The sequence below is a fragment of the Homo sapiens genome, chromosome 9 (assembly GCF_000001405.40).
Source record: "Homo sapiens chromosome 9, GRCh38.p14 Primary Assembly".
Taxonomy (NCBI): domain Eukaryota; kingdom Metazoa; phylum Chordata; class Mammalia; order Primates; family Hominidae; genus Homo; species Homo sapiens.
In genome coordinates, this window is record NC_000009.12 from 92,069,077 (window position 1) to 92,096,289 (window position 27,213).

Here is a 27,213-nt window from a genome sequence, read left to right on the forward strand (position 1 = left end):
AAATCAGAGGCCACAGAGTTGGATTTTGAGACCCAGGATGAGTGAGCCGTGATGTGTCTACTGATGAGAACCCAAGCACAGGCAATGGCAGGCGGTCTGGGCATTCCTGAGCTAGGGGCAGCAGAGAGGGCTGACGGCCTGGCAGGAGGCAGTATATTTACAGACTTCCTAAAGAACGTTACAAAACTGTTAAAATGAACTATTAATTCCATTCCTATCAAATAGTGATAAAATATGAGGCATGCTTCTTCCTATTTGTACGTTAACACAGTCAATATCATTTGATTTCCATTACCAATTGGTTATAGTTATTTTATAAAAAGGACACTTTTCATTACACCAACATTAAATAAACGTAGGACTTTACAACAACACACAGAGTTTAGAAGAACGTATCCCAGGTGATCTTCGAGTATAAGACCTCTGACACTACGATCACATGAAATCCAAGGCCGTGATTCCCTGTATCTGACAGCCGCCCTCTAGGAGAGATGCTATCAGAAAAGGTTTCAGGCAAAATCTAGCAAGAAAGAGGAAAACAGCCAAGTAGCTGAGCATGGGTTACTCTTGGGTATGTCTTCCTTCTCATCCTCATTACTGTTCTCTGAGCGCCATCACTTTGCCACCTCTCACGTTCCCAGGTAGGAGGCCTCCTTCAAAGTATAATGGTGCTTCTAATTGAAAGTATCTGCCACAAACCTTCACAGTTCAGCCAGAAGGACAACTCAGGCAACAGTGGTTTGCTTTCATTTGGTATCTCCATTTCAAAAAGAAAAACATGCTATGTATACAAATTATTTTTGCTAACCACAAAAGGGATTTTAAATCATTCTGTAGACTTCTTAGCTCTAAATGACTCCTTTCATCAATGAATGATGAGAATGTAAAACTGAGTATAACCCTGTTTCAGGACTTTAGAGTGAGTTACCCAGTTGATGAAAATCAGCATGTTACAAATCTTCCCATCATTAGGTATACTCGTAACTGTTTATATACAGTTGCCATAAGTGGGAAGAAGAATCTCTCAACAATAAATCAATGACTTACTGGTTCTAGCATAGTCCCAAAAGTTCAAAAAGACTAGTCTTTTCCTTCTATCAGAAGACACTGGGTTTTAGCTGATGTCAGCCTTGCAAAGCAGGTTTTGTGACAGGTAAATATGGGTAACTGAAGAACTTGTTTCTCTTGATGCTCCTTTGTGCAACGAAGAAACTCTCAACCTAAGGGAGGAGAAGGCAGCAAGCAGGAAAACTACAAGGGCACTCACTTTTCTTCAACTTTTGATGTCCATATCTTCTGTGTGTATGATCCATTTCACTAACTGGAGCTGTAGATTTGCATGGAATAAAACTAAAGTACTATATTCTACAATTCACTGTTAGTATTAAACACGGCAGAGAAGTGACCATAGAGGGAGGTGTCCTAGAATGCCTCCGCACACCTCACAGCCCTCAGCACTTTCTTGCACTTGCTTATCTGCCTGTCTGGCTCCCTCACCAGAACCTCAGGGACAGGAGGCCTCACTATCTCGGTCATCACAGAGCTCAGATTGTAGTTAGGTCTGGGGGTTCAGCCCTGGGCAGCCTTGGTGCCTTCCTCTGTCAAATAGGGGGGATAGTCCTACCTTCCTCAAGGGTTAGTAGGATGACTGCACAAGTTAATGCTGATAAAACACTTAGAACACTGCCTGGCATGGAACAAGCAATATGCTATTTAAGAGTTTGTTTAATTACATTAATACTTGTAGAATAAAAGAAAAGGTTTTATTTTAAAAGCAAAAACCTGGTCACACTTAGGCAATCTTCTAATAAAGCTATGTGAATTCTGAATTGTTAAGACTATCTTCCAATAAGAGCCACTTGTTCAGCTTCTCACTTACAAGGAGGAGAGATTACGGCCTTCCTGGTTGTTTTCCAGAGAGAACACCATAAAATAGCTGACTTTAGGACGTTTAGAAACAAACTACATTTTCTCTTAAGGCCTTCATATTTTTGCATACATACTGTCCTTAAAAAAAAAAAAATCCCTAGAGGCCAGGTGTGGCGGCTCACACCTGTAATCCCAGCACTTCGGGAGGCCGAGGCAGGAGGATCACCTGAGGTCAGGAGTTTGGGACCAGCCTGACCAAAACGGAGAAACCCTATCTCTACTAAAAAAAAAAAAAAAAAAAAAAATTAGTTGGGCATGGTGGCGCATGCCTGTAATCCCAGCTACCTGGGAGGCTGAGGCAGGAGAATCGCCTGAACCCAGGAGGCGGAGGTTGCAGTGAGCCAAGATCACGCCATCGCACTCCAGCTTGGGCAACAAGAGTGAAACTCCGTCTCAACCACAACAACACACACACAAAAATATCCCTAGAGACATGCACAATTTTTCTTCTTAAGAGTATAAGTGATAGCCCTTAGGTACTCACTGGAACATACAGAGCCAAATGTTTTTCATGTTTTCACATGCGGTATCTTATGTGATCCTTAGCAAAGTGTTCTAAAGCCATGCAAGCAATGATTGTTCCCACTTACACCTGAGAAAACCATGATCCCATGACTGGTAAGAGGAAGTGGCAGATCTAGGAATTTTATGACCAAATTGTAAGGTCCCCTGACCAAGCTGCGCCATGGTCAAGCCATCGTGACCCCTGTGACCCACACGTACACATCCAGAAGGTGTCCTGCAGCCAGAAAATCTGGGACAACAGGAAAACCACAAAAGAAGAAAAACGGCTAGTACCTGTCTTAGCTGATTAGCCAGCCTTGGGGCATTCTACCATTGTAACAGGCTCTACCCTAACTGATCAATCAACCTCATGACACATGACACTGTGCTCTGTAACCTTGTGATAATGTACCTTGTGACATTCTTCCCCTACCTGCAAAATCCAGCCCCTAACTGTAACTTTCCATTGCCTACCCCTAACCTATAAAACCATCTCCAATCCCACCACCCTCTGCTGACTCCCTTTTCATACTTAGCTCACTTGCACGCGAGTGAATAAACAGCCTTGTTGCTCACACTTAGCCTGTTCAGGTTGTCTCTTCAATTGGACGCATGCATAACATTCGGTGCCGAAAGCCCGGGATAGGGGAACTCTCTCTGGGAGACCTCTCCCCTATCCTCCCCACGCTCTTCCATCAAAGAGACTTCCCTCGACCTCAGGACCTCAGACCAGCCCCCGCGAACACTCCCACCTCTGTCTACGGATCGGGTAAGCTGCCTCGGTCTCTCCTCATCTCTCTCCCTCTTTTTCTCTCCTCAAAATTGAGACAAGGAACCTTCCTCTTATCCATGTTTCCAAAATCCAACGTTGGTCACGGACTCTTCTTGGGAAGACAGTCTTCCCTCAGTGTTTGGTGAATGCCAGGGATGCCAGCCTTGGCCATTCGCCAGCCACACAACCCGGGACCTCCATTGGGGATGCCCACTGAGGATGCTAGTGGTTGCTCTTTTCCTTGTCTCTTTCTTTCCCCTCAAACTTTCCCAGTTCTAACATGGGCAACCTCCCACCCTCCATCTTCCCCACTGGCTTCTGTCCTCAAAAACCTCAAACCTCTTAGCTTTCACCCAATCTAAAGCCTAAACGTCTAATTTTTTTTTTCTGTAACACGGCCTGGCCCCAATATAAATTAGACAATGGCTCTCAGCGGACAGAAAACAGCACTTTCAATTTCTCTATTTTGCGGGACTTAGACAACTTCGGTTGCAAAATGGGCAAATGGTCTGAGGTACCCTACATCCAGGCATTTTTTACTATGATCTCTCCCTAGTCTCTGCTCCCAATGTGGTCCATCCCAAATTTTCCTTATCTCCCTTCCATCTACCTCTCCTTCTTCCACTGGGGATGCTGACTCCTCTTTACCTGTTAACCCCTTCAATCTTTCTCCCCCCAACCCACCTATCCGAACCTGGCCCTAATTCCCCCTCAGAACCGAGTTCTACCCACAAGCCACCCCTTTACGTCCCTCCCATTACCATCCCTCCTCACACCTGCTCTGGCTTACAATTTGACCCTGAAGCCGACCCCCATGCCCCTGCCCAGCAATTTCCCCTTTGAGAGGTGGCAGGAGCCGAAGGAAAAGTCCAGGTTCACATCCCTTTCTCTATATCTGACCTTTCCCAAATCAGTCAGCATTCAGGCTCTTTTCCGTCAGACCCTACTCAAATATATACAAGAATTCCAATACTTAACACAGTCCTATAATCCCACTTGGAATGACTTAAATGTCATCTTCACTTTGGACCCTAGCTCAATCTTATGCTGATGACTGCTGGCGCCTTGAGCCTGGCCTCCAAGGCCAGGCACTAGGGCAGTACCCGTGAAGGCCCCAAAGGACCTACCAGGCAGGGGCCCAAGGCATAGCCAGGCAGGACTACATGATCTCTTGTTTAGTTCAAGGGCTTCAGAAAGCTGCATATAAAGCCGTGAATTATGACAAACTAAAGGAGACCACTGAGAACAAAGGTGAAAACCCAGCTCAGTTTATGGCCCATCTAGCTGCCACCCTCAGGCGATATACAGCACCAAACCCTGAAGGGACAGAAGGCCGCCTTATTCTTAACATGCATTTTATTACCCAGTCAGCTCCTAATATTAGAAAGAAACTTCAAAAATTAGAGTCTGGCCCTCAAACCCTATAACAGGAATTAATCAACCCTGCCTTCAAGGTGTTCAATAATAGGGAAGAGGCTGCCAGGCGGCAGCGCGCCTTTCAGAATGACAAATGCTTGCCTCCACCTTAAAACAAACCCCAGCAGCACCGCCTACCTGCAAAAACTTCAAGGCGTACAAACCGCAGCGTTTAACTGCCCCTCTGGGACCTTGCTTCAAATGTCAAAAACCTGGCCACTGGGCCAAGGAATGCCCACGGCCCGGGATTCCTTCTAAGCCATGCCCCTGTGTGGGCCCTCACTGGAAGTCAGACTGTCTGACTCTCATCACCAATCCTGGAGCTCCTGGAGTACAAACCCGAAATGACCGACTCCTTCCCAGATCTCCTCGGCTTGGCGGCTGAAGACTGACGTTGCCCGAATATCTCGGAGGCCCCCTGGACCATCACAGACGCCAAGCTTCGGGTAACTCTTACAGTGGAGGGTAAGTCCGTCCCCTTCTTAATCGATACGGGGGCTACCCACTCCACGTTACCTTCTTTTCAAGGGCCTGTTTCCCTTGCCCCCACAACTGTTGTGCATATTGACGGCCAAGCTTCTAAACCCCTTAAAACTCCCCAACTCTGGTACCAAATCAGGCAACACTCCTTTATGCGCTCCTTCCTAGTTATCCCCACCTGCCCAGTCCCCTTATTAGACCAAGATATTTTAACTAAATTATCCTCCTCCCTGACTATTCCTGGACTACAGCCACATCTCAGAGCTACCCTTTTATCCAATTCCAAACCTCCCTCGCAACCTCTCCTTTCATCTCCCCACCTTAACCCTAAAGTATGGGATACCTCCACTCCTTCGCCTGCAACTGATCATTCACCCCTTATCATCCCATTGAAACATGGCCACCCTTATCCTGCTCAATGCCAATACCCCATCCCACAACAGACTTTAAGGGGCCTAAAGCCTGTTATTACCTGTCTACTACAGCATGGCCTCTTAGTCCCTACCAACTCCCCTTACAACTCTCCCATCCTACCTATTCAAAAACCAGATAAATCCTACAGGCTAGTCCAAGACCTTCGTTTCATCAATCAGATTGTCCTCCCCATTCATCCTGTCATGCCTAACCCTTATACTCTCCTATCCTCAATACCGCCTTCCACAACTCATTATTCTGTTATTGACCTCAAAGATGCCTTCTTTACCATCCCCTTACATCCCTCTTCCCAGCCCCTTTTTGCCTTTACTTGGACTGACCCTGACACCCACCAGTCCCAACAACTCACCTGGACCGTCCTGCCCTAAGGTTTCAGAGACAGCCCACACTACTTTAGCCAGGCCCTCTCCCGTGACCTGCTTTCTTTTCGTCCATTTGTTTCCCATCTCATTCAATATGTGGATGACCTTCTTCTTTGCAGCCCCTCTTACCAATCCTCCCAGCAAGACACTATCCTGCTTCTTCAACACCTCTACTCCAAGGGGTACAGAGTATCCCCCTCCAAAGCTCAAATTTCTACTTATCTTGGTATAATCCTCCACCAACATAGGTGTGCACTTCCAGCAGACCGTATTCAGCTAATCTCCAAATTCCAATCCCCACCACCAAACAACTACTCCTCTCCTTCTTAGACGTTGTTGGATACTTCTGCCTTTGGATACCAGGTTTTGCCATCCTAACCAAACCACTCTATAAACTCACAAAAGGAAACTTAGCTGAACCCACAGATCCTAAATCCTTCCCTCGCCCCTCCTTTTACTCTAAAAAAGGCCCTAGAGGCAACCCCTACTCAAGCGCTTCCCGACTCCTCCCAACCCTCCTTCCTCTCCACACAGCAAAAACGCAGGGCTGCGCTGTAGGAATTCTTACTCAGGAACCAGGCCTGTGACCAGTAGCCTTTGTATTCAAACAGCTTAATCTTACAGTCCTGGGCTGGCCGTCATGCCTGCATGCCACAGCAGCCACAGCCCTTATACTCTTAGAGTCTCTCAAAATCACAGGCTATGCCCCACTCACCTTTTATAGCACTCACAACCTCCAAGACTTAGTTTCCTCTTCACATATAAAACATACTCTCGGCTCCCCACCTCCTCCAGCTCTATTCACTCTTTATTGAAAATCTCATGGGGACCATTGCCTTTGGACAGGACTTCAACCCGGCCTCTCACTTACTACCCACTACAAATCCTAATCCACACAACTGTATTTCCTTAATCCACATAGCCTCCTCTCCTTTTCCCCATATTTCCCTTTTTCCTGTCCCTGACCCAGACCACACTTGGTTTATTGATGGCAGTTCTTCAAAAACCAGTTGATTAACACCAGGAAAAGCTGGATAGGCCATTGTGTCTCACTCATCTATCACTGAAACTGCTGCACTCTCCCCATTTACAACCTCTCAACAAGCTGAATTAATAGCACTAACTCATGCCCTAACTCTTGGCAAAGGACTGCATGTTAATATCTAATTGACTCTAAATACGCCCTTCACATCCTCCACCGCCACCCTGTCAACTGGGCAGAAAGAGGTTTTCTCACTACACAAGGATCCTCTATTATCAATGCCCCCTTAATAAAGCCCTCCTTAAAGCTGCCCTCCTTCCAGCCAAAGCCAGAGTAATCCACTGCAAAGGACACCAAAAAACCTCTGATCCCATTGCCCAAGGAAACACCTATGCCAATAAAACAGCCAAAGAAACAGCAAACTCCCCAGTATCTGCTCCCAGTGGCCAATATTTCTCCTTCTCATCTATCACTCCTATTACTCTCCTTCTGAAACCTTAAACTACCAGTCACTTCCCACTCAAGGCAACTGGTTTTTAGATCATGGAAAGCTCCTTCTCCCTGCCTCTCAAGCTTACTCTATCCTCTCCTCCTTTGATGACCACTTCCATGTAGGATATAAATCTTTAACCCACCTTTTAGAACCTCTCATTTCTTTTCCAGCCTGGAAATCCATCCTCAAAACAATCACCTCTCAATGGGCTATAATGCCACTCTACTACCCCATCAAGGCTTTCTTAAACCTCCTCCTTTCCTTATGCATCAAGCACGACAATTTATCCCTGCTCAAGATTGGCAAATTGACTCTACTCTTATGCCCCGTGTCTGGAAACTCAAATACCTCCTGGTTTGGGTCGACACCTTCATCAGATGGGTTGAGGCTTTTCCCACGGGGTCTGAAGGCTGAAAAGGCCACTGCAGTTATTTCCTTCTTCTAACAGACATAATTCCCCGGTTTGGTCTCCCTACTTCCATACAGTCTGATAATGGGCTGGTCTTCATCAGCCAAATCACTCAAGCAGTTTCCCAAGCCCTCGGTATTCAATGGAATCTTCATGCCCCATATCACCCTCAGTTCTCTGGAAAAGTAGAAAAAGCCAAGGACCTTTTAAAAACACACCTTACTAAACTTACCCTCCAGCTTAAAAAAGACTGGACCACTCTCCTACCCCTTGCACTCCTCCGAATTCGAGCCACACCCTGGGAACCCACCGGGTACAGTCCATTTGAACTCTTACACGGCCGCACCTTTCTGCTGGGTCCCAACCTTATTTCAGACACCACCCCTCTTGGTGATTATCTTCCAGTCCTTCAACAGGCTAGACAGGAAATCCACTAAGCTGCCAATTTCCTTTTACCTACTCCAGATACCCAGCCATATAAAGACACCCTAGCCGGACGGTCAGTTCTTGTTAAGAACCTGACCCCTCAAACTCTAGAACCTCGGTGGACAGGACCTTACCTGGTCGTCTATAGTACCCCAACCACAGTCGTCTGCAGAATCCTCCCCACTGGGTTCATCGCTCCAGGATAAAACTGTGCCCATCAGACGACCAGCCTAGCTCCTCTGCCTCCTCCTGAAGTCGCAAGTACTCTCCCCCACTTCCCTTAAACTTACCCACATTCCTGAAAAAGAACAATAACCCTGTATACCTTTTATTTACAGTAGGCCTTTACACAGTCACCCCAGTATTTAAACTCTGTCTACTTATGTCCCTACTAACCATTCTCACGTACTTCTAAATGCCCTGCTTTTGTCTATACTACCAGTTCACGCTTTTACTCCAGACCATTGTAGCTGATATCTCGTGGTGTCACCCTCAAGCTGCCACCCTTAACTCTCTCAGAATGGACAGATGACCTTCTGTGGCAAGGTACTCTCCAATTCTTCCACCCTGATGAAGTTCTTTTCTTTTATACTTACTCTTTGTCTCACTCCCATTCCCTTGCCACCCTCTACCCCTCCATCTAATTATCTCCAGCAAACCATCAACCTCACCCACTCCCTCCTCACCATCTCCAATCCTTCCTTAGCCAGAGATTGTTGGCTATGTATTTCCTTCTCTTCCTCCTACTACACAGCTGTCCCTGCCCTGCCAGCTGACTCAGCAACCTCCCCCATCTCCCTACACCTCTGAACCTCTTTCAATGATCCCCACCTTTACCCTCCCAAACAACTTCTTTACTTCCTAGAAAAATACAGCAAAAACTCCCTGATATCTAATACCAACAAGCTGCTGCTCTCCTCCGTACCTACCTACAAAAACAATTCCTTTACCTCAGCAAGCAGTCACAGAAAGCTTTCATCAGATTACAATCAACAACCCCATAAAATGTGCCTTTTCTAGTTTTCTAATACCTGCCAAGAAAATAATTCCCTACCAATCAAAAACCAAGCAAACAACCCATTTGCATTAGACTAGAGGAAAGTGGGAGGCTCTGATATGAGCTTATTTCTTCAAACTTGCCATCAAGAATGGAAGTCAGGATACTTGGTTTATATTATTATTATTACTATTTTTGAGATGGTCTCACTCTGTCATCCAGGCTGAATTGCAGTGGTGTGAACACGGCTCATTACAGCCTCAACCTCCTAGGATCAAGGGATCCTCCTGCCTCCGCCACCTGTGTAGCTGGGACTACAGGTTCACGCTAGTGCCAGGTTTATTTTTATTTCTTGTAAACACGGGGTCTCACTACATTGCCCAGGCTAGTCTCATATGCCTAGGCTCAAGCAATCTTCCCTTCTTGGCCTCCCAAAGTGTTAGGATTACAGGCATGAGCCACTAAACCTGGCCAATTTCTAATTTTAGGGTTAGAACTAAAGATTTTAAAGATCACTTCCAGCTGTAGGATTCCTGGACACTACTTCTCCTTATCTGTTTCCAAGACAAATAATGTAATCACCAAACTAGCTTAGGGATAACATAAGGTGCTCCCTTACATTAAAAAATCACAAAAGTAAAAAACTTAACTGTTAAAGTAAAAAAACACAAAAAGATCCAGAAATGGAAACAAGGATGGAAGATGGAAGATATTTCCCTTGCTCTACTTTCCCCACACTGTGTCATTTTATAAGCCAAAATGCTATTTCCAGCAATAAATTCATTTAAACAATTTTATTTATTTATTTATTTTTGAGACAGTCTTGCTCTGTTGCCCAGGCTGGAGTGCAGTGGCATGATCTCGGCTCACTGCAACCTCTGCCTCCCAGGTTGAAGCAATTCTCCCACCTCAGCCTCCCACGTAGCTGGGATTACAGGTATCCACCACCACGCCCAGCTAATTTTTGTATTTTTAGTAGAGACGAGGTTTCAGCATGTTGGCCAGGCTGGTTTTGAACTCCTGACCTCAGGTGATCTGCCTGCCTCAGCCTTTGAAAGTGCTGGGATTACAGGCATGAGCCACCATGCCCGGCCTAAACAATTATTTAATAACATTTTCAGGAGCAAAGAATATACACTTAATAAAAACAACCATAAAATGCCGGTCTTCTTTGATGACTCCCAGGGAATTCACTGTATTTGAAATCATACATTCATCAAATATTTAGTTGGCCTGTTCCCGGATTATCCATACACAAGGAAATCAATGATCCTTCATCTTCATTCTAGAAAGATAAAAAACTACACTGTTTATCCCCCCTCCCTCCACCCCAGGCAATCTGCTCTCCACTTTCTTCCTAGAGCTGTTTCTCAGCCCCCTGCGTGGCTAGTCATGGCAGGGGTTCCGCTCTCATCAGTGGACTGTGGGCAGAAGTATGAGGCCATCTCCCCTGCATAAAGAGTACTGCTGCTCTGCACTCGTTCCTCACGCTGCAATCCCCACACATGCACACGAGGATGAGCCCACCATGCCCGGCTAATTTTATTATTTTTTGTAGAGACAGGGTCTCCCTATATTGCCCATGCTGGTATCAAATTCCTGGGCTCAAGGAATCCTCCCACCTCAGCCTCCCCAAAGTGCTGGGAGTACAGGTGTGAGCCACCATGCCCAGCCTAAAATTGAATCTTAACTATTGAAAGCAGTAGTCTCAAAGAGAACACAACAAAAACTTACCAAATGTGCCATAAAATCCTCTGGGTCCACAAGTCCCCACGCCATACTTCTTTAGAGATGCTAAAGCTGCTGCCTTTATTGAAGTACAAGAATTATACTTTAATAATTTATCTTTAAGAGTTCAAAACAAACATTTCCTATTCTTTAACCCACAGAGCTCCTTCCTTCCTCCTCCAACTCTAACAGAATATAAAGAAGAGACAGGTGTAAAGACTGAGTATATGACTTAAAATATGGAAAAGTTATACTAGCCTGATTCTCAAAACCTGGTTAACTTTTCTGCATTTGTGGGCCAAGTCTTTCCTGGAAAATGCCTGTTAGCCCACAATCCCAATAGGAGAGAGAGCAATTTCCTAGACCCTTCTCCAACTATTCTCTAGGTCTGGCCTGTTCAGTTCTGTGGTTGCTGCCTAACACTGAGCCACATAAGAGACTCTTGCCTCTCTCTGTCTAGGTCCCGCTCACAACTCTGTCAGACAAAAAGTAATGGGAAAAACTTGCATAGCGCTTTCCAATACTATGATTTTTTTTCTTTTTTTTGGAGATAGAGTCTCGCCCTGTTGCCCAGGCTGGAGTGCAGTGGCACCATCTTGGCTCACTGCAACCTCCACCTCCTGGGCCCAAGAAATTCTCCCACCTCAGCCTCCCAAGTAGCTGGGACTACAGGCATGTGCCACCATGCCCTGCTAATTTTTGTATTTTTTGGTAGAGATGGGGTTTCACCATGTTGGCCAGGCTGGTCTTAAACTCCTGACCTGAAGTGATCCACCACGCCCAGCCTGCCTTTGTCTTTTATGTCTAGTTTCTTAAATCAGTAATGTTATCTGTCCACTTCAGCAATATGTGCTACTCACCTTAACCCTAGGGTTATCCAACAATCCAAGAAAATTAAATGAGGCGAAGTTTATACATTCTTTTCCATTCACCACAGTTTTGTGGCTTGGAGGGCTAGGGAAGAGATAGAGTGGTACATGTCAATTACACATTCATGTTACATGCTATCATATTACCTTGGTGGTAGGCACAACAACATAGTGTTGTCATCCTACCCTATTTGCATACTGGTCTTTGATTTCTTGTTTTTAAGAAGTAATATTAGAGCATGGTACATTAAAAATAAGATATTTTTCCATTAATTTTATTTTTAATAAAATACCTGTACTATGAAAATAAAAAAGAAAAATAAGCTAGAATTCCAAGATGAATGAATGGCAAATCTTAAATGCTTTGGTTTTAAAACTCGCTTAAGAATGAAGCTGCTAAATAAAGTATCTCAGAAAAATCTGGAATAAGCCAAACAGGAAGAAAATATAAAATAAGATCAAAGGCAAGAATAGGCAGAGTGAGTTATGATCTTGCATAGTTAAACGGCTTAAAAAGAAATGTCATGTATAGGAAGCCACTAAAGAGTAAGTGGGATATGTTCCCAATGTCTAAAGTTAACGCTGGAATGCTGTTGAAGAGGAATCCTCACACTCCTGGGGAGCGGGGAGAATGTGGGTGGCAGCTACACTGGAGCCGGATATGAGCCCGGCTGGGACAGGAGAATGGGCTCCTGAAGGTACTTCCGTTAAGCCCTCTGCTGATCTATATTCGAGCCATGAGCCATGTTTCAAAATCATGGGCTCAAATTATGGGTTGCAAACTGTTAAAGGGCTGTGAGACCAAGTTAGTTGGTCACAATCAGCCTATTTTAACCAGAGGAAACAGTAAAACAAAATAGAACGGAAAAGAAAATATCAGAACCATGGCACAGGGTGAGTGATGGGACTATGTATCTGTACTGGTCCATGTACTGGGTTGCTCTATAAAATGCACTGTAGCCAGAAAAAATGGAGAAACACTATTCTCATTGATACCTTTTAACAGCATTGGTCATCCTTGAGAAAACACAGATGCTGGGAAACCAGGAAAAGAAAAGAATGACAACTTGAAGTAAATTCATGAAAGCGAACTAACTTATAAAAAAGGCAAGAAGACTCAGTGAAAAAACCATGGGTTATAGAGTCTGTCAGAGAGATCCCCTCTGTATTATGGCTATTGACGATTCAGAAGCTTAGGGACATCACTGACCTCTGTGATTCTCAGTTTCTTCATCATTAAAGTAGGGGAGAGTCTACCTCTCAGGGAAATTGCTATTATGAAAGTGCCTGGCTCATAAGAGGTGCTCTCCAAATATTTTCTTTCTTCTTCCCTAAGGCTTCAAGGGCTTCTCTATTTTATTTTATTTTATTATTATTATACTCTAAGTTTTAGGGTACATGTGCACAATGTGCAGGTTAGTTACATATCTATACATGTGACATGCTGGTGTGCTGCACCCATTAACTTGTCATTTAGCATTAGGTATATCTCCTAATGCTATCCCTCCCCCTCCCCCCACCCCACAACAGTCCCCAGAGTGTGATGTTCCCCTTCCTGTGTCCATGTGTTCTCAGTGTTCAATTCCCACCTATGAGTGAGAACATGCGGTGTTTGGTTTTTTGTCCTTGCGATAGTTTACTGAGAATGATGATTTCCAATTTCATCCATGTCCCTACAAAGGACATGAACTCATCATTTTTTATGGCTGCATAGTATTCCATGGTGTATATGTGCCACATTTTCTTAATCCAGTCTATCATTGTCGGACATTTGGGTTGGTTCCAAGTCTTTGCTATTGTGAATAGTGCCCCAATAAACATACGTGTGCATGTGTCTTTATAGCAGCATGATTTATACTCATTTGGGTATATACCCAGTAATGGGATGGCTGGGTCAAATGGTATTTCTAGTTCTAGATCCCTGAGGAATCGCCACACTGACTTCCACAATGGTTGAACTAGTTTACAGTCCCACCAACAGTGTAAAAGTGTTCCTATTTCTCCACATCCTCTCCAGCACCTGTTGTTTCCTGACTTTTGAATGACTGCCATTCTAACTGGTGTGAGATGGTATCTCATTATGGTTTTGATTTGCATTTCTCTCATGGCCAGTGATGGTGAGCATTTTTTCATGTGTTTTTTGGCTGCATACATGTCTTCTTTTGAGAAGTGTCTGTTCATGTCCTTTGCCCACTTTTTGATGGGATTGTTTGTTTTTTTCTTGTAAATTTGTTTGAGTTCATTGTAGATTCTGGATATTAGCCCTTTGTCAGATGAGTAGGTTGTGAAAATTTTCTCCCATTTTGTAGGTTGCCTCTTCACTCTGATGGTAGTTTCTTTTGCTGTGCAGAAGCTCTTTAGTTTAATTAGATCCCATTTGTCAATTTTGGCTTTTGTTGCCATTACTTTTGGTGTTTTAGACATGAAGTCCTTGCCCATGCCTATGTCCTGAATAGTAATGCCTAGGTTTTCTTCTAGGGTTTTTATGGTTTTAGGTCTAACGTTTAAGTCTTTAATCCATCTTGAATTAATTTTTGTATAAGGTGTAAGGAAGGGATCCAGTTTCAGCTTTCTACATATGGCTAGCCAGTTTTCCCAGCACCATTTATTAAATAGGGAATCCTTTCCCCAATGCTTGATTTTCTCAGGTTTGTCAAAGATCAGATAGTTGTAGATATGTGGCGTTATTTCTGAGGGCTCTGTTCTGTTCCATTGATCTATATCTCTGTTTTAGTACCAGTACCATGCTGTTTTGGTTACTGTAGCCTTGTAGTATAGTTTGAAGTCAGGTAGCATGATGCCTCCAGCTTTGTTCTTTTGGCTTAGGATTGACTTGGCGATGTGGGCTCTTTTTTGGTTCCATATGAACTTTAAAGTAGTTTTTTCCAATTCTGTGAAGAAAGTCATTGGTAGCTTGATGGGGATGGCATTGAATCTATAAATTACCTGGGGAAGTATGGCCATTTTCACAATATTGATTCTTCCTACCCATGAGCATGGAATGTTCTTCCATTTGTTTGTATCCTCTTTTATTTCCTTGAGCAGTGGTTTGTAGTTCTCCTTGAAGGGGTCCTTCATGTCCCTTGTAAGTTGGATTCCTAGGTATTTCATTCTCTTTGAAGGAATTGTGAATGGGAGTTCACTCATGATTTGGCTCTCTGTTTGTCTGTTATTGGTGTATAAGAATGCTTGTGATTTTTGTACATTGATTTTGTATCCTGAGACTTTGCTGAAGTTGCTTATCAGCTTAAGGAGATTTTGGGCTGAGACAATGGGGTTTTCTAGATATACAATCATGTCATCTGCAAACAGGGACAATTTGACTTCCTCTTTTCCTAATTGAATACCCTTTATTTCCTTCTCCTGCCTAATTGCCCTGGCCAGAACTTCCAACACTATGTTGAATAGGAGTGGTGAGAGAGGGCATCCCTGTCTTGTGCCAGTTTTCAAAGGGAATGCTTCCAGTTTTTGCCCATTCAGCATGATATTGGCTGTGGGTCTGTCATAGATAGCTCTTATTATTTTGAGATACGTCCCATCAATACCTAATTTATTGAGAGTTTTCAGCATGAAGGTTGTTGAATTTTGTCAAAGGCCTTTTCTGCATCTATTGAGATAATCATGTAGTTTTTGTCTTTGGTTCTGTTTATATGCTGGATTACATTTATTGATTTGCATATATTGAACCAGCCTTGCATCCCAGGGATGAAGCCCACTTGATCATGGTGGACAAGCTTTTTGATGTGCTGCTGGATTCGGTTTGCCAGTATTTTATTGAGGATTTTTGCATCAATGTTCATCAAGGATATTGGTCTAAAATTCTCTTTTTTGGTTGTGTCTCTGCCCAGCTTTGGTATCAGGATGATGCTGGCCTCATAAAATGAGTTAGGGAGGATTCTCTCTTTTTCTATTGATTGGAATAGTTTCAGAAGGAATGGTACCAGTTCTTCCTTGTACCTCTGGTAGAATTCGGCTGTGAATCCATCTGGTCCTGGACTCTTTTTGGTTGGTAAGCTATTGATTATTGCCACAATTTCAGAGCTTGTTATTGGTCTATTCAGAGATTCAACTTCTTCCTGGTTTAGTCTTGGAAGGGTGTATGTGTCGAGGAATTTATCCATTTCTTCTAGATTTTCTAGTTTATTTGCGTAGAGGTGTTTGTAGTATTCTCTGATGGTAGTTTGTATTTCTGTGGGATCAGTGGTGATATCCCCTTTATCATTTTTTATTGCATCTATTTGATTCTTCTCTCTTTTTTTCTTTATTAGTCTTGCTAGCGGTCTATCAATTTTGTTGATCCTTTCAAAAAACCAGCTCCTGGATTCATTAATTTTTTGAAGGGTTTTTTGTGTCTCTATTTCCTTCAGTTCTGCTCTGATCTTAGTTATTTCTTGCCTTCTGCTAGCTTTTGAATGTGTTTGCTCTTGCTTTTCTAGTTCTTTTAATTGTGATGTTAGGGTGTCAATTTTGGATCTTTCCTGCTTTCTCTTGTGGGCATTTAGTGCTATAAATTTCCCTCTACACACTGCTTTGAATGTGTCCCAGAGATCCTGGTATGTAGTGTCTTTGTTCTCGTTGGTTTCAAAGAACATCTTTATTTCTGCCTTCATTTCGTTATGTACCCAGTAGTCATTCAGGAGCAGGTTGTTCAGTTTCCATGTAGTTGAGCGGTTTTGAGTGAGTTTCTTAATCCTGAGTTCTAGTTTGATTGCACTGTGGTCTGAGAGACAGTTTGTTATAATTTCTGTTCTTTTACATTTGCTGAGGAGAGCTTTACTTCCAACTATGTGGTCAATTTTGGAATAGGTGTGGTGTGGTGCTGAAAAAAATGTATATTCTGTTGATTTGGGGTGGAGAGTTCTGTAGATGTCTGTTAGGTCCCCTTGGTGCAGAGCTCAGTTCAATTCCTGGGTATCCTTGTTGACTTTCTGTCTCGTTGATCTGTCTAATGTTGACAGTGGGGTGTTAAAGTCTCCCATTATTAATGTGTGGGAGTCTAAGTCTCTTTGTAGGTCACTCAGGACTTGCTTTATGATTCTGGGTGCTCCTGTATTGGGTGCATATATATTTAGGATAGTTAGCTCTTCTTGTTGAATTGATCCCTTTACCATTATGTAATGGCCTTCTTTGTCTCTTTTGGTCTTTGTTGGTTTAAAGTCTGTTTTATCAGAGACTAGGATTGCAACCCCTGCCTTTTTTTGTTTTCCATTTGCTTGGTAGATCTTCCTCCATCCTTTTATTTTGAGCCTATGTGTGTCTCTGCACGTGAGATGGGTTTCCTGAATGCAGCACACTGATGGGTCTTGACTCTTTATCCAATTTGCCAGTCTGTGTCTTTTAATTGGAGCATTTAGTCCATTTACATTTAAAGTTAATATTGTTATGTGTGAATTTGATCCTGTCATTATGATGTTAGCTGGTTATTTTGCTCGTTAGTTGATGCAGTTTCTTCCTAGTCTGGATGGTCTTTACATTTTGGCATGATTTTGCAGTGACTGGTACCGGTTGTTCCTTTCCATGTTTAATGCTTCCTTCAGGAGCTCTTTTAGGGCAGGCCTGGTGGTGACAAAATCTCTCAGCATTTGCTTGTCTGTAAAGTATTTTATTTCTCCTTCACTTACGAAGCTTAGTTTGGCTGGATATGAAATTCTGGGTTGAAAATTCTTTTCTTTAAGAATGTTGAATATTGGTCCCCACTCTCTTCTGGCTTGTAGAGTTTCTGCTGAGAGATCAGCTGTTAGTCTGATGGGCTTCCCTTTGTGGGTAACCCAACCTTTCTCTCTGGCTGCCCTTAACATTTTTTCCTTCATTTCAACTTTGGTGAATCTGACAATTATGTGTCTTGGAGTTGCTCTTCTCAAGGAGTATCTTTGTGGTGTTCTCTGTATTTCCTGAATCTGAATGTTGGCCTGCCTTGCTAGATTGGGGAAGTTCTCCTGGATAATATCCTGCAGAGTGTTTTCCAACTTGGTTCCATTCTCCCCGTCACTTTCAGGTGCACCAATCAGACGTAGATTTGGTCTTTTCACATAGTCCCATATTTCTTGGAGGCTTTGTTTGTTTCTTTTTATTCTTTTTTCTCTAAACTTCCCTTCTCACTTCATTTCATTCATTTCATCTTCCATCGCTGATACCCTTTCTTCCAGTTGATCGCATCAGCTCCTGAGGCTTCTGCATTCTTCACATAGTTCTCGAGCCTTGGCTTTCAGCTCCATCAGCTCCTTTAAGCACTTCTCTGTATTGGTTATTCTAGTTATACATTCGTCTAAATTTTTTTCAAAGTTTTTAACTTCTTTGCCTTTGGTTTGAATTTCCTCCTGTAGCTCAGAGTAGTTTGATCGTCTGAAGCCTTCTTCTCTCAACTCGTCAAAGTCATTCTCCATCCAGCTTTGTTCCATTGCTTGTGAGGAACTGCGTTCCTTTGGAGGAGGAGAGGCTCTCTGCTTTTTAGAGTTTCCAGTTTTTCTGCTCTGTTTTTTCCCCATCTTTGTGGTTTTATCTACTTTTGGTCTTTGATGATGGTGATGTACAGATGGGTTTTTGGTGTGCATGTCCTTTCTGTTTGTTAGTTTTCCTTCTAACAGACAGGACCCTCAGCTGCAGGTCTGTTGGAGTTTGCTAGAGGTCCACTCCAGACCCTATTTGCCTGGCTATCAGCAGCAGTGGCTGCAGAACAGCGGATTTTCGTGAACCGGGAATGCTGCTGTCTGATCGTTCCTCTGGAAGTTTTGTCTCAGAGGAGTACCCAGCCGTGTGAGGTGTCAGTCTGCCCCTACTGGGGGGTGCCTCCCAGTTAGGCTGCTCAGGGGTCAGGGGTCAGGGACCCACTTGAGGAGGCAGTCTGCCCGTTCTCAGATCTCCAGCTGCGTGCTGGGAGAACCACTGCTCTCTTCAAAGCTGTTAGACAGGGACATTTAAGTCTGCAGAGGTTACTGCTGTCTTTTTGTTTGTCTGTGCCCTGCCCCCAGAGGTGGAGCCTACAGAGGCAGGCAGACCTCCTTGAGCTGTGGTGGGCTCCACCCAGTTCGAGCTTCCCGGCTGCTTTGTTTACCTAAGCAAGCCTGGGCAATGGCGGGCGCCCCTCTCCCGGCCTCGCTGCCGCCTTGCAGTTTGATCTCAGATTGCTGTGCTAGCAATCAGCGAGACTGTGTGGGCGTAGGACCCTCCGAGCCAGGTGAGGGATATAATCTCCTGGTGGGCCGTTTTTTAAGCGTGTCGGAAAAGCGCAGTATTAGGGTGGGAGTGACCCAATTTTTCAGGTGCCGTCTGTCACCCCTTTCTTTGACTAGGAAAGGGAACTCCCTGACCCCTTGCGCTTCCCAAGTAAGGCAATGCCTCACCCTGCTTCAGCTCGCACATGGTGCGCTGCACCCACTGTCCTGCGCCCACTGTCTGGCACTCCCTAGTGAGATGAACCCAGTACCTCAGATGGAAATGCAGAAATCACCCGTCTTCTGCGTCGCTCACGCTGGGAGCTGTAGACCGGAGCTGTTCCTATTCGGCTATCTTGGCTGCCCTCCGGGCTTCTCTTTCAAATCCAGTGCCACTCACCTCCTCAACTGTGATTCTGATTTTATCATGTTATTCAGGTTCTTACTTCTCAAGGTTTCCTTAAGTTTCCTAAGTCCTCCCTGATTTCATAGTCAGGTATTGGCAGTCACAAAAAGATTAAAAACAAAAAACAAACAACAAACAAATACCGAGATAGACCACCCATGTACCAAAGGTGCCATAAACGTTGAGACCATTCTATAAAAACTGTAATACACAGAAAACAAATGATTAAGAACAAGTATATCCAAAACACTTAACCACAGCTCAAAAGCTATCAGAAGGCAGCATGATGTGATGTAGGGATACTATTTCTGTCCAGCACTTGGAGTAGCGAAGGAACAAAGTTTCCGGTGAGAAATGGAAGTCTCAGACCTGTGCCCCATGCAGGCTAGCAGGAATAGGTCATAATGGGCACTTGATACAGGAATCCTGGAACCTAAAATCTTATAGGGTATGCTGCAGAAGCAAGTAAAACCAACCAGAAAGACATCTCCACAATCGAGACCTGAGAGGACTCAAAAGAGAGAAAACAACTTTCCCAATCAAAAACCACAACCCCACCATGAGTGAGAGTCAGGATACAAGACATGCAGAAGGGCCACTGCCCAAGAACGCGAGACGCTGGACACTAGAAAGTGCTCCCAAGAGCATAAACATAAGGAAAGGTTAAAAAGTTACTAAGAAAAGGACAGGCTGGGCTGGGCGTGGTGGCTCACACCTGTAATCCCAGCACTTTGGGAGGCCGAGGCGAGCAGATTACCTGAGGTCAGGAGTTCAAGACCAGCCTGACCAACATGGTGAGACCCCATCTCTAGTAATAATACAAAAAAATAAGCTAGGCATGGTGGCGCATGCCTATAATACCAGCTACTGGGGAGGCTAAAGCAGGAGAATCGCTTGAACCCAGGAGGCAGAGGTTGCAGTGAGTCGAGATTGTGCCACTGCACTCCAGCCTGCTCAGGAAGAACAAAATTCTATCTCAAAAACAAAAACAAAAAAGGACAGGCTAACTTGCTAAATAGTCAAATATAACTTCCAGAAATAAAATCTAAGAGCCAATAAAATTAGAAATCTAAAAGATAGATTAAATACCCCATCAGACACTGCAGAAAAATGAAAGACAGAGCTGAGATTACCAAGAGATGCAAAAATATGAAAGAGTACATACTGAACGTAGAGGATATGAAGGTTAAAAGTACACTAAACATTAGCTCTACAGGGAAAAACTGGAGGAAAAAAGTGAGAGACAATGTTTGAACAGATAAAAGCTAAAAAATTCCCAGAATTCATGGGAGACAGAAATCCACAGACTGAAGTACAAAAATGAATCCCAAGTAGGATAAATATGAATAAATTACAAGAAGACACATGACAGTGAAACTGTAGAATTTTAGAGAAAAATAATTGTGAAAGCCACTAGAAAAAACAGAAGATGAACAATAATTAGACTGACACAGTCTCCCCATAACACAGGCCAGGCCATGATGAAGAAATTCTCCAAGGCTGCAGGGCAAATAATGATCCACTTAGAACCTGTTACCCACTAACTGTCATCCAAGGAGGTAAAATAAAAACATTTCTCATTAAGAGATACAGATTACCTTCTCTGAATCTCTACATAACAATCTAATAGAGAATATATTTTAGAAAAAGAAATTTTAAGCGCAAAGAAGCTGCACGGATAAAGAAAGAAATACCTAAAGACTGGCAATAAGAAAGTGGTAAATAGGTAAAGAAGGTGATTCTCAAATATAATAATCCTGGAGGATACAAAATAAGTGGAGGTCAAATATCAGACATCAAGAAAGGGGGAGTGGGGATGGGGAACAACTGAAGTAGGAGTCTAGTAAGTCCCTGTACTGCTCAGTAAGGAAGAGAGGAAGATTAATTAACATTTGGGGCAAGGTGGCTCATGCCCGCAATCCCAGCACTTTGGGACACCAAAGCAGGGGGATCACTTGAGGTCAGGAGTCCGAGACCAGCCTGGCCAACATGGTGAAACCCTGTCTCTACTAAAAATACAAAAAATATTAGCCGGGTGTGGTGGTGCATGCCTGTAATCCCAGCTACTCCAGAGGCGGAGGCAGGAGAATCCCTTGCACCTGGGAGAGAGACACTGCAGTGAGCTGAGACGGTGCCACTGCATTCCAGCCTGGGCAACAGAGTGAGACCCTGTCTCAAAAAACAAACAAAAAAAAATTGGACAGGAATTACTTATGTTAAGCATGAGGAGAAGAAAAGAATAAGGGAAGTCTAATCAAGAAAACCTGATCAAGCAGACTAAAGGCAAGGGAAAAAAAAAAGAAATGAAAAAATTAAGGCCACTGCCCTGGAACAAAAGACCACTTCTGTCAGCTGCTCCTGCAACTAGGTGTGGCCAGCATTGCCGTAACCAAGCTGACAGGCCCAGAAGGAGACTCTTTTCTGCCCATCTGCCTGACATCCTCCCTTAAGGTGACTTATGAATGGAAGTCACACACCTCAAGGACAGAACACAGGATGGTAACCTGGGTCCCTAATCATCTGTGGCGCTAGCTACCTTGCTCCCCACTTGTGAGGGCAAATAAACTTCTACTTTCCCTAAGCCATCTAAGTTTGGGTTTCCTATTATATGCAGCTGTACCCACTACTAATTAGTTACAACTTCAACCAGAATGATCTCTAACAATGCTACCTTTAGGTGTTTTGAAGAAATCAGTTTGTTTTTTATAAAGGGAGGTAAAATAATTTGACACAGATATTGTACTTATTTCCCACACATAATACATATTCCTGGGAGCGGGACTTCACAATGAAACAGTATACAACCAAGTAAGCAAACCTTTTAAAGACCACAACAAAAAGCAACCCTGTAAGGGGTCAAGTGTAGAACCACAAATACTGAATGAGACTTGGGTAAAATTTTGAGGGATAGCAACATACACAGATTCAAAAAGTTATGCATCCAAGTATTCAGACAGACGTGAAAATGACAGACTTTAAACATAAATTTTTCAATGCTTCTAATGATGAATATGGTATCCAAGATGCCTAGGAAGAATTAGAATAAAACTGCTGCATGGGGTAAAGGAAAGAGCAGTATTTTTGAATATATTATTTGCACAATGACATTTTAAATATATATGTGCAATTACATTAATAAATCAAATAACATTATTTTTGGCCATTTCTTATACATCCCTTTAAATTTACATATCAAATTGGCCAAGAAACTCTTTTAAATGCTACTGGGAAAATTGTGAATCACCTCATATTTCAGCAGATATTAGTGTTTACTATACAAATAAGTTAGTAATCAAAATAAATGTAAACAGATTAAACTCCTCAGTTAAAAAATGATACTAGGATTAAAATCCAATTATGTACAAAAGAACTACACACAATGATACAGTAAAATTGAAAACAGAGTCCTATTAATCACAGAATAACTAAATGATAGCTGGTGTAGCTACACTGCTATCAGACAAATGGACTTTAAGGTAAAACATAATTTTTGTTAGAGATAAGGGACATTCAAAACGATGTAAAAATGCTGAGCCCACATACATTTCACACCTTCAAACTAAACAATTTAAAAACGAAACAGAGACAGAGAATGAATCCATACGGTGGGTAATACTGATCTTTATACTGTCTCTTTCTTTCTCATTCATTTACATACCAGACAGAAAACGGCTAAGACTGTCAACTATTTGAATAATAATTAAAGTGCTTGATGTAATGGACACAAGACACCTTGAATAAAAGGAATATATAATATAAATTTTTGTGATAAAGCCGTGGAACATTTGCAAAATTTACAATAAAGTAAGACATAAAGCAAGTGTCAACAAGAGCAGCCAAATCATTCAGAAAAGCTATCATCCAGAACATGTTTTTTAATCACATAGCAATAAATTATAAATTACTGAGAAGACAAAAACTCAAGGAAAACATTATGCTTTAGTCAAAGAAAAAAAAGAAAATTAAAAAATATTTAGGTCTGAATAACACACATTAGAAGTATAGCCTACAGGCCGGGTGCAGTGACTCATGCCTGTAATACCAGCACTTTGGGAGGTTAAGGCGGGTGGATCACCCGAGGTCAAGAGATTGAGACCATCCTGGCCAACATGGTGAAACCCTGTCTCTATTAAAAAATAATAATAATAAATTAGCTGGGCGTGGTGGCACACACCTGTAGTTCCAGCTACTGGGGAGGCTGAGGCAGGAGAATGGCTTGAACCTGGGAGGCAAAGGTTGCAGTGAGCCGAGATTGCGCCACTGCACTCCAGCCTGACAACAGGGCAAGACTCCATCCTCCCTCCCCCCAAAAAAAGTATAGCCTACAGCTGGAATAGTACTTAGAAGGGAATTTATAGGCTTAAACACAGAAAAGTTCATTATGCCTCACACTCAATTTTGAAAGTTTGCAGCAAGTTCATTCAGTAGCAAAACCTGTCCTAAACATATATGAAACTCTTTACTGCTTTTATTTACTCAATGGAATGAAACTATTCTGGGGATGCTGCCCTAGACTGCATGAGAGTGGTTCTGTAATAAGGAATACGTACTTTATTATCTTTCAAAACCTTTTTTTAAGCCTGAATCCTGAATTACACTCAGGGTGTTTTGTAAAGAGAATGTCAATCAATACTAGAAAAGATTAAAAATGTAAATTAAGTGTTCAACTAAGTTAGAAAAAGAACAGAGTACACCTAAGAGATATATTAATAGAAGTTAAATAAGAAGTAAAAATTTCAGAAAATACAACATAATAAAGAAAAGTCATGCAATGATCTTAGATGCAGAAATAACATTTGATGAAGTTCAACATCTATTTATAAAACTCTTAGAAAACTAGATCGGAGGAAATGGTCTCGAATTGATAAGACTATAATACCTAAAACCTACAGATATTAACTGGGAAACAAGAGAGCCATTACTTTTATGAATATGAACAAAACAAGGATGCTTGGTATCTTTTTACTATTCAGCATATTACTAAAGGCCATACCAGTAAAACTGTAAGTCCAAAAATGTGAATAAACAAGTGTGCACACACACACACACGTCTGAGAAGAGTCACACTGTTATCAGCAGGTGATATGATCACCTTACATAAAAAACTCAACGAAATCAACAAACCATTGGAATTAATAGTAAATAAAGGTAACAAAATACAAAGTATTTACAGTATCAAGAAAAATATAAAGACAGTAATAAATGATAAGATATACGATGGTCAGCTGAAGGGATGGCTCAACATTTTAAAGATATTACATTTTGCCAAGATAAACTACAAACTCAATGCAATCACAACTAAAATTCCACCAGGATTTCTAATGGAGCTCTATAAACTTCAATAATTACACAGAAGGATACAAGTTCAGGAATGGCTAACTGAATTTAGAAACCGGGAGGTGCTTTACCAGAAGGAAGCAAATACTGTAATATTTGCAGGTAGGCAGAGACCAATGAAAGAATCTAGAATTCATGAGAACTGTGTACATACAAATACCTGGAAAATGACAGCAGTTACCCCACAAACCACTAGGTTTCACACAAATTTTTCTCTACGGATAAAGTTGAACAGCCAGGTATAAAGTGAATTCCAGCCATATTAAAAATCTAAAAGGTATTTTAGAAAAGATAACAAAATGTGGAAGAATGTCTTTGGGACCTCAGGGTAGGAAATGATTTCTTAACCAAGTCTTTAAGAATACAAACCGTAAGGCCAAGATGGATGCATCTGACCAAGTCAAAATTAAGAAATTTGGTTCAACGAAAGATACCAAAGACAAAGTTAACAGACGGGTGATAGAGAAGAGGTTTATTGTATTTCACTGAATCTAAGATGTCATCAATTGTATTTTATCCATCACTAAGGAAGAGAAACAGTGTCAATTAAAATACAATGATGTTTTCTTGTCATGTGCAGCTTTTTAGTTTATGCTTAATGCAAAGGTCTATTATACATTCTTAGACCCAGATTTTTGTTACACTACATTTGTACTTATGAAAAGGAAAATGTAAGTCAAGACATTCCTAAAACCTCTTTAACTGAGTTCTGTCCCTCTCCTCTAAGTCACTGATACCACAAGTTTTCATACCATGTTCTCCTTGCTCTTGGCAGTGTCTTGGCATTTCTTACCAGCATGCTCCACTATGATTTCTGAGATTATCTGACATGTTAACTGTCACCCATTCTCAAGTTCTGATGCTGCAACTTTCCTATTGAACTAACCTCATAGTTTTATCGTCCTTCCAATTAAATCACATGTTTCTAGAAAGTAAGCTGATACTACCCAAAGGCAACAGGAAGTCTGACAAAGAGATCTTCAAAGCCTTTTGTCATCCTCTGCCTCTGCTCTGCAGGTCTGGCCATTTCTCCGGCTATCAGTTGCCTCATTGACCAGCAGGGCATACACTTCAACTGGAGTGCTGACAGTAAGCCCGCCACCACGAAGTTCACTGGTACATAAGCAATGACAACCATGTCACAAACTACCTTCCTGGCTGACAATGACTCATCAGTGACTCTCAGCAGCTTTAAGATTCATCCCCACTTCAAAGATTTTAAACTAGGGAAAAACAGTATGTGTCTTAGAATCAATGTAACAGAGTACTAACTCAAAAATTGACTAAGGATTAAAATCTACAAGGTATACAGAACCTTCGCTAATCAAAAGAAAGACTGGGAATCCAGTAAAAAAACAGGTAAAAGATATGAAGAGGCATTCAAAGAAGCAGAAGACTCCAGTAGCTAAAAAGTAGATGAAGTGATGCTCAAAGGCTCAAACATTAAGAGAAATCCAAAGCAAACAGTATTGCTAAACAGAGATGTAGGGAAAACTTGAATTCCTATATACTATCTCAGGGGACCATAGATGACACAGAAAAGTCCTACAGGAAAATTAGGCAGGCATATATCAGTATCCTATTCCTGGTTCTATACCCCCAGAGAAATTCAAGGGAATATTAGGTTCATGAGGGAATATTAATCAGAGGATTCTTTGCAGCAGTGGGAAATGGGGGCGGTTTAGGTGTCTATCATGAGGAAAATGGAGAAGTAAAATTTGGTGGCTGTATACACAGAAGAATATGTAGCAGTCAAAAGAAATGAACAAGAAATATATGCAGCAACTCTACCTCTCTTTACTGACCCTGCTTTGATATTTCTTCATACCACTTAATATCAGCTAACATTAAAAAACACCTCAACCCTTGATCTCTTCTGAAAGCACACTCAGAAAGCAAATGCAAAATGCCTACAAAGTTTAAAGGTCTAAACCCACCCAGACCAGAACAAGGAGAAAGGTGACAAAATGTGGGAAACTGGAAAGCAAATGGATAAGTTGTATTTGATAAGTCAAAGAGATCAAAGAGAAAGGCAAGCCTAGGCCAGCAGTGAAAAGCCAAGCAGCAACGCCTGAAACATGCTCCCAAACTGGGGCACCAGCTTCCATTAAACACTGGAAAACGGGAAAGGCCGACAACAGGAGGACTGGCTGGGTGCCTAGACAACAGGCAGTCACTCCCCTCCTCCACCCTGAAGAAGTGCTCTCTGGAGAGGCTGTGTATAAACTGGAAGTCCTAAGAATGAGTGAAGGCAGGGGTGCCGTTCTGAAGACAAAAATTAGGTGTGAGTTACATAATGAATGGTAAGACCCTGGGCCTCTTGCCTTCAACTCAGCTCCCAAATGGTGGAAAGCAGCTTTTTACCTGCAAAGTAATAGACTAGAGGACTCCTCTCCTGGGAAACACAAAGCCAAGAGAATAAAAACTATAAATACTAAGTTTGGGGGTCCCCTCAAATAAACGAACAGGTCCCTGTCTGATTATCCTAGTGCAAGCCCCTCAGTCAAAAAGCCCACC

The 27,213-nt window shown here is 42.5% G+C and overlaps 1 protein-coding gene across 9 annotated transcripts in view; it reads right to left on the bottom strand.

Annotated features, from left to right (window-relative positions):
- SPTLC1 (serine palmitoyltransferase long chain base subunit 1) overlaps positions 1 to 27,213 on the bottom strand; it is an 84,267-nt gene that overhangs the window by 37,930 nt on the left and 19,124 nt on the right. For 4 of the 9 annotated variants that reach the window (NM_001281303.2, NM_006415.4, NM_001368273.1 and 1 more), the window contains 2 exons: positions 11,794 to 11,887; positions 10,940 to 11,012 (listed from right to left, as the gene is read on the bottom strand). In NM_001281303.2, coding sequence (NP_001268232.1) covers positions 10,940 to 11,012; positions 11,794 to 11,887 — 167 coding nt within the window. Of the gene's footprint in view, positions 1 to 1,047; positions 1,227 to 1,267; positions 7,675 to 7,721; positions 7,936 to 9,984; positions 10,491 to 10,939; positions 11,013 to 11,793; positions 11,888 to 27,213 lie in introns of those variants that run through there. The other 5 variants (NM_001368272.1, NM_178324.3, XM_024447379.2 and 2 more) reach the window with 5 other exon arrangements.